Source organism: Homo sapiens, chromosome 12, assembly GCF_000001405.40.
Source record: "Homo sapiens chromosome 12, GRCh38.p14 Primary Assembly".
Classification (NCBI taxonomy): domain Eukaryota; kingdom Metazoa; phylum Chordata; class Mammalia; order Primates; family Hominidae; genus Homo; species Homo sapiens.
Genome location: NC_000012.12, coordinates 21,492,994 through 21,501,072, shown reverse-complemented (window position 1 = coordinate 21,501,072; position 8,079 = coordinate 21,492,994). Strand labels below are relative to the sequence as shown.

General features: G+C 41.2%; 1 protein-coding gene across 8 annotated transcripts in view, besides 2 other annotated features; it reads left to right on the top strand.

Moving 5' to 3' along the window:
• Positions 1-8,079, top strand: part of RECQL (RecQ like helicase) — a 32,726-nt gene that overhangs the window by 563 nt on the left and 24,084 nt on the right. For all 8 annotated transcript variants that reach the window (XM_047429300.1, XM_047429299.1, XM_005253464.5 and 5 more), the window contains one exon: positions 1,458-1,518. In XM_047429300.1, coding sequence (XP_047285256.1) covers positions 1,503-1,518 — 16 coding nt within the window. In that variant the 5' untranslated portion in view covers positions 1,458-1,502. The remainder of the gene's footprint in view (positions 1-1,457; positions 1,519-8,079) is intronic.
• Positions 15-64: an enhancer, noted in NCBI's record as "active region_6089". NCBI's record gives its function as "activates an Ori minimal core promoter by ATAC-STARR-seq in GM12878 lymphoblastoid cells {active_cell/tissue: GM12878}" and the evidence as "EXISTENCE:reporter gene assay evidence [ECO:0000049][PMID:35858748]".
• Positions 85-154: an enhancer, noted in NCBI's record as "active region_6088". NCBI's record gives its function as "activates an Ori minimal core promoter by ATAC-STARR-seq in GM12878 lymphoblastoid cells {active_cell/tissue: GM12878}" and the evidence as "EXISTENCE:reporter gene assay evidence [ECO:0000049][PMID:35858748]".

The following is an 8,079-nucleotide window of genomic DNA, read 5'->3' as shown; positions in this document are numbered from 1 at the left end:
TGGCGGGGAGAGAGAGGATTTAGCCTATGGTATCTCAGTGGCGTTTCCTCCAACATTGATGACTGGCTGTCACCCTGTAACATTCTTCCTGTGGATGCCTAGCTTATACTGCTGAGTGACAGACCTGCTGTAGTTCAATTTCTGGATACATTTTATGTTGAGATATCTTTTGCTGTTAAATCACATCATTTTGGGAAGGAGCAGTCTTTTAACCGCATAATCAAAGGAGTCATTTAAAATCGTGGGGGAGAATTGGATATAGACTGTGTCTTTTCATAAGGGTAGAAACAGCCCCTGCTACCTTAGCAAACCTGAGCCCTCACTACATCAAGGCATTTTCCTGGGCTGTGCGGATACAAAGGTGAAGAGATTGAACCCCAGCCCTGCTAAAGGACCTTACAGTCTATGGAAGGAATGTTACATTTTCATTACGTGAAGAGATGTTTGTATAGATCAAGAATTAGAAATCCTTGGTTTACTCTCCTATTTAGCCTTCTTTTAATGGTGTGGTTATTCCACATTCTTTAGCAAGGCAAAAAAGAGTCAGCCTATCTTTCCGGCCTAGTGGTGGCTTCAGAATTCTGTGTAGAAAGGGCGTAAGGTCAGCAGTCTAAGGATAGGTGTTGCAGAAGTGACTTTTGGAGAGCATCTTAGTTTTAGAAAATGTCCATATTAGAGAGATAGAAGAGGTGTTTTTAGGATTATGGGGAATTTAAAGTTTCTACTCTCCAGCCCCATTTTCCACTTGTCCATATGCATGCTTAGGTTTTAGTCATTCATAGATACTTAGAAATCATTACAAACCATTTTCCCCTCCCCCCACCTCTAACTTAGAAAATCTAGCTTTTCTGTAGAATACCAGTTTCTCTTTTAAGATTGGGCTTATATTGTAATTCTTTAACGCAAGGGCTCAATAAAATGTTAGATGATTAATTTTATTATTTATGTTGATGTATTTTGCTTAATCTGGTACATTTGAATCTATCCAACTTATTTATAAGATTGCCATCCTCCCAGTTTTACAGGTAGGGAAAGAGGCTTGGAGGAACAGCATATGCAACTTTGCCTAACATAGTAATTTAGTCACATAGCAATTGGTGCTAGACCTGTTGAATGTTTGCTGTTTTTTGTTACATCACTTTGTATCTTGTGGATGTTTGCTGAGTGTCATTGCTACTGTATTTGTCATGTATACGTTTATGTGACTTTGGACACTTCTCTGAAATCTAGAGAGTTAGTCGTTCTGAGTGTTGTGGGTTATTAAGCTGAAATATAGAGTTTTCCATAAAAAATTAGTGTCAAAAGAACCATGTGGTTCTTATTTGAAAGGTCACTGCAATATATAATTTACTTTCTAACATTTTCCGTGCTTAGGAATGACAGATTACTGTTGAGTGAACATCATTAATAGTACTATTTTTAAAAACTTGTTGTCACTGTTGTGCTTTTATTTTTAGAAAGAAATTTGGATTATTTTAGAAACAAATTTGGAAAGAAAAAGAATGGCGTCCGTTTCAGGTTAGTAGCAATGATTACATTTTCTTCTTCCTTCTGTTCTATTTCTGTTTGTATGATATTTGAAAAAGTTTGTTTTAAAAATTCTGATTATAGAAATGATTTTTTTCAGCTTTTTTATTGAAGTAAAATACACATTACAAACTTTGCCATGCTAACCATTATTAAGTGAATAATTCATTGGCATTAAATGCATTTAGACTGTTGTGCAGTCGTCACCACTATCCATCTCCAGAGCTTTTTCATCTATCCAGACTAAAATTCTATACTCATTAATCCGTAACTTTCCATTACTTCTCTTCTCCTAATCCCTGATAGCCACTATTCTACTTTCTGTTTCTTGACTATTTTAGGTACCTCATATAAATGGAATCATATAACATTTGTCCTTTTGTGTCTAATTTTTACCTTATTTGTGTCCAAATAAAGGCAATAGCGGAATCATGCTTTTGCCTATTTCTCTTACTGCTGAGTATACACTGACCCCTTCCCCAAAAGAGCAGGTACAAATTATCTTTATTCGTCTTTGGGTGATGCTCATTTCTCTTCTTGCTGAATCATGTCCTCCTTGGTAATACTGTAATGTATCGGAGAGGGACCAAATAAAAGGAAAAACCCAAACTTGGTTTATATACAAATTTTAAAAAGCAAGAAAGACTTATAGCTATTACAGTTCTTGTTTTTCAATTGGTCATGTGATCATAGTTTGTACTTTATAACTGCCTTCTTCAACTACCCATTCTGTATTCCTTGGTTCTCAGTTGGTAATGGGTCTTTGCTTGGTGGGGACTACTTGCCTTAGTAGTTTCCTATATTTGGTTATTATAGTTTTCAATTAACTTTAATCACAAGGTAAGGGAATACTGAGAGGTGCACTAGAGGATCTTCTGCTTTCCAGACATACTCTTCCTTATCCCTATAGTGTAGTAGCTATCTGATTTCCCCTTAATAGTCAGGATCACTTACCCCAGCAAGTATAGTAATCGCCTTCTTTGCCTGTTCATTTGTTGGCATGAGGAACCCAAAGTGGCCAAGTGGCAGTCAACTTCCAGTTTAATGGAACTATTGCTTTTTCCCCTGGTACAAGCATTTCTTTCTTGGTAACCAAGACCTCTAGGCCAGCAAGAGTCCGATGTTTCAAGGATGGGAAGCAAAAATTTCACTAGCGGATCACTAAGGGTAATAGAAGAGCCACTCCCATTTCCACCGCTGATTCCCGTGAATCGTGGCAATGGGAGAAACAGCACTATTCACTGATGTATAGCATGCCATATCCTGGAGGCTACTAGTCCAGCCCTTAAAGTGCTGATACCCAGCTGGCAGCATAATTGAGTCTGCAAAATGCCACTCCATTATTTTCTCAGGCTAGCTGCTGCAGGTTGTTGGTGAACATAGTTAGACCAGTTAATATCTTGAACATTAGCCTTCTGTTGTGCTTTGTTTGCTGTAAATGAGTTCTTTGGTCAGAAGTAATTTGGTGGGGAATACGATGACAATCAGTAGGAATTCCGTGAATTCCTGGATGGTGGACATGATAGAGCACTGCAGGCAGGTATGGTAAATTCATATCCGGAGTAAGCATCTGTATCAGTGAGAACAAAGTGCTGCCTCTTTCATTATAGACGGTTCCAATGCGGTCACTTTGCCATCAAGCATCTGTCTGTCCCCACAGAGAATGGTGCCTCCATTGGAACTCAAGGTTGGTATGAGCTGTTTGCAGGTTGAGCACTTAGCTCTGGATGTAGCCAGATGGGTCTTCGTGAGTGGCAGTCCATGTTGCAGAAGGCACTTTGTTCTTGACTTCGTTGTGCAAGGACAAGTGTGGTCAATGTCCAGGTCATCTTGTCTACCTGATTAATTATGATTATACTTTGTCGAAGTTGTTTTTAATGAGCATTCACATTGGACACAAATACCTTCACACTCTGACCATTCAGAGAGGTCTATACATATATCTCTTCCTCAGACCTCATTGCCACCAGTTTTCCTATTTGCTACCTTCCAAGTTGCTAACCATCCTGCCAATCATTAACCATTGCTTATAATAGTGTGGATGTATTCCTCTGGCAAAATGAATAACTATGTGGACTGCTTACTGCTGACTGGGAGAATTTTCCATCTCCAATGTTTTTCAGGATCACTCTGGAGAGATGCTAGAGTGCTTTAGTTGTTCACTTTCAGGTAGTGACAATATATCATGCAGAATCTTTTGTAAATTAGGTCTGCATTTTTTTTTCCCTTAGTAACACTGAATCCCACCATGAGGTTATAGCTACAGGTTGAGGAGGAGGAGGCAAAGGGGAGCATGGTGCATGAGCATTCAGACTTCTTGTTCACGCCTTCACTTAGAACCTGCTCACTTTGGCACATACCACTTCCATTGTGATGATGGAGGCCTGCCTGATGAATTGATGGGTCGGATGACACCTGGTTGATGATAGGCAGCACAGGTCACATAGTAACTTAGTCTCTTGTAAGACCCAGGAGCAACCCAGAAGTTGTTTCTGAAAGGGTAATAGTTCTCTGTAGATAATGGCAAAGAGCTTTGCTCTAAAATCCTTATCATCTTTGTTGTGACTCATCTATAGGCCAAAGGTGTCATATAACATCTGCATTCATCACAAACTTACAGCACCATCAAATCTGTTGGGTCATATGGCTCAATGGTAAGAGAAGATTGTATCATGGCGTTACCTCTTGTTCGAGGTCCTACTCAAAACCGGCAAGTTTTGGGGTTACTTGGTAAATTAGGTGTATGTTGCCTCCCAAATCCAAGTAGTCCATTAGGCTCTGTGCTGCTCTCTTAGTAATAGGAGGGGCCAGATATAGAAACTTATCCTTCACTTTAGAAGAGGTATCTCAACATGCCCCATACCCTTTGACTCTCACCAAGGTGTCAGGCCTCTGAATTTTTATGGGATTTATCTTCTATCCTCTGGCAAGTGTCTCTCTTAGCAGTTTGTCTATAGTAGCTGCTACTGCTGCTTCTTGCTCAGCAGGTCAGACAAGCATGATATCATCAATGCAGAGAGCTAGTGTAATGTCTGGTGGAATGAAAAGGGAATCAGGATCCCTGCAGCCTAGATTAGGGCTAGAGAGTAGATATAGCTCTGAGGTGGGAGAATAAAGATACATTGCTGGCTCAGCAAACTGCTTTTACTGTGCTATACTATTCCCCTATGCTATAATAACAGGTACATGGGTATGGAGAATAAAACATTCAGCAGATCAATAGCTGAAGCCAGATGCCAGGGCATGTGTTCTGTCTTATTAATGAAATTACAGCTGGAACCATGGCTGCTGTTGGAGCCACAGCCTTATTAATTTTGGCATAATCCATTCTCAATCTCCAGAATCCATTGTCTTCTGCATACACCACATAGGTGAGTTGAATGCGACATGGAAGTCATCATTACCCTCATATCTTTCATGCCGTTGATGTAGGCAGTAATCTCTGCAATCCCTCCAGGAATGCAGTAATATTTTTAGTTTGCTGTATTGGTTGGTAAAGGCAGTTTTGCTGGCTTCCGTTTGATCTTTCCTATAATAATAATCCTTAGTTACTTTGCCAGGAGACCAATGGGTGGATTCTGCCACTTGCTGAATATATCTGTTCTCAGTATACATTCTGAAACTGAGGAAATAACCACACAGCAGATTAGAAGGCCCACTGTATATCACTAGCAGCCGCTGGACTTGAACCTGCTGCTGCCCCATGCCAATGAGATCACCAACCCTGCCCTTACACTGACTTTCTTAAATACAGAAAATATGTCTACTGCTTCATTTCTACCTTTTAAATCTCTGGAAACCAAAGCTGCATTGATCACCTCACTTAAGTCGAGTCTATACTCTGACTGGTGGATCACCATGGCATTTTGGTTTTCTAAGAATTAGCATCAGTTCAGAGCTAATGTCCAGTAGTTTCTGAGAAGTGATTTCTCTTTTTCTTTCTTTTTTTTTTGGACGGAGTCTCACTCTGTCACCCAGGCTGGAGTACAGTGGTGTGATCTCAGCTCACTCCAAGCTCCGCTCCCGGGTTCACACCATTCTCCTGCCTCAGCCTCCCAAGTAGCTAGGACTACAGGCGCCCGCCACCACGCCTGGCTAATTTTTTGTATTTTTAGTAGAGACGGGGTTTCACCATGTTAGCCAGGATGGTCTCGATCTCCTGATCTCGTGATCCACCCGCCTCGGCCTCCCAAAGTGCTGGGATTACAGGCGTGAGCCACCGTGCCTGGCCGATTTCTCTTTTTTTCTAATGCACAGTTACCCTAATAAACTTCCTGGTGAAGAGTAGTAGGAAGATTCATTACATACATTTTTAGCTGTGTGGTTGAGTCCTTCCCCAACAGGCTCCAACCTCTGCCTTATTCAAGGGCCTCTGGTTCTATAAGGTGGTTCAATTCTGGAAATTCGTCGAAGGATGGTCTCTCTGTTGTGTTTCTGGTTCTGTTTACCAGAATCAGAGCTTTCTATTCTGCGTGTTACAAATCAAGTAATCTATTTCCGTTTCAGGGACTTCACAGTCAACTAGTCAATCCAAGATCTTGTCGGTCAGACCATTCTGATTGCTGCCTCAGCTCTGTTGCCCTTCATGGCAACCACATCTACTTTATTTTTCGTCATAAATTCAATTGCCAATGGTTAGCCCCCATACCTTGGAATCCATCATTGTCGTTGAATCAGGTGGTCTACTTGGAAGATGATATTTCCCACTGTCATTCCTAGCTTACAGAGAACAGCCAGGGGAGCCCCAGCATCCCTGAAGAGCTCCGCTGATGCTGGCGCTCTGCTCATGACTGTATTTTTCACAGTCTTGGTGAAAGAAGTGTCCTCTGGATTCTCCTGGGGGACAGCAAGGGAGTGGATTATCAATCTATTTGATCTTCCACTCTGGCACTGCTCTCTCTCTAAGCCTCTGAATACCTTCCTTTAGAGCATACCCAGGAAATTCCAGAGCTCCAGCCTCACTGGACTCTATACCTGTTTTATTCCATCCCAATTTTCTGACATTCATCTTTGAGGCCAGGTTTCAGGCAATGAGCCAAGCAAATTACTAGAGCCACTCCTGGCCACTATCTAGGACATTAAATCCAGAATTTCTTAGTGAGCCCGTATCAATAAACTTAGCTTAATTCGACATTGTATTCCATAAACCCTGTTTCAGTACCTTTATGATCTATTCCCATATACATTCTCTAGGTTTCTGATGTAGTTTGGATATGTGTCTCCTCCTAATCTCATGTTGAAATGTGACCTCCAGTGTTGGAGGTGGGCCTAGTGGGAGGTGTTTGGGTCATGGAGCAGGATCCCTCATGAATGGTTTGGTGCCCTCCCTATGGTAATGACTGAGTTCTTGCTCTGTTAGTTCACATGAGAGCTGGTTGTTTCAAGGAGCCTGGCACTGCCTCTTCTCTTTCTTACTCTATCTCCCACTGTGTGACACACCTGCCCCCCTTTGCCTTCTGTCATGATTGGAAGCTTCCTGGGGTCCTCACAAGAAGCAGATGCCAGCGCTATGCTCCTTGTATAGCCTACAGAACCATAAGCAAAATAAACTTCTTTTCTTTTATAAATTACCCAGCCTCGGATACGCCTTTATATCAATGCAAAATGGATGAACACAGTTTCTATTGATATATTTTGGCACATGCAGCTCTTTTGGTGCATATCATGTCTTTTGACAGGTTACATCTTTGTGTTTTATCCTCTAGGACTTCTGGATCTTAAAGCACTGAAAGATGGTAGAGGCTGATTCTTAGGAGGCTTAGCAGTCCCATACAAGGCAACAAGGACCATTGTGGGGACTTCAGTTAGGAGGACATTGTTTCAGAAAGGGGAGGCAGGGTAGAAGAGACTTGGCATAATTTAGTGGTTTAAGGTAACCTGCTTCGTTGGAATCTGCCCTTATGTTCCCCTCCAAATTTCAGTCTCCTTCCCAGTCAGTGTGCTGACTTTATCATAAAAGTCCCTGCAAGGTTGGGAATTCAGTTTGTATTGAAATTCAGCCATCTGCAGGATTTAGACTTACAGCTATTTTTCCAAAATATTGGCCCTGTACCTATAGAGGATAAGGTTTTTTTTTAAGGACAATCATAGAAACTTTGAGGTCCCTTAATGCAGATCCTACATTTTTCCCCTGAGTTCTTTGCACACTTAGAAGCAACCAGTCAACCCCATTATTCTCACCAAAACATTTGTAACAGCAAACACTTTGTCACCCACAGCCTTGCCTTCTCTAGTTATTTTTCTACTGGTGTCTATGGATGATGATTTAAATAACTTTTTTCACTGCATGATGACATAGAATAGTTATGTTCCCTTTATCAGTGGAAACAGGGTTATTAATGCCTTGAAATCTAATCAGATCAGAAAGCCAGTTCTATGTGGCCCAGAAACAATTCAGAGAACCTGTTAAGTTTCTGTTCTTCCGGATCAAAATTCTGTATTGGTTAGGGTTCAGTCAGGTAAGCTGAACCATTATGAGTGCTGTAAGTTTTATTATGGGGATTAAAACTTATGTGATCATGGGAGCTGGTTAAGCAGCTATCCCTGAGTCAG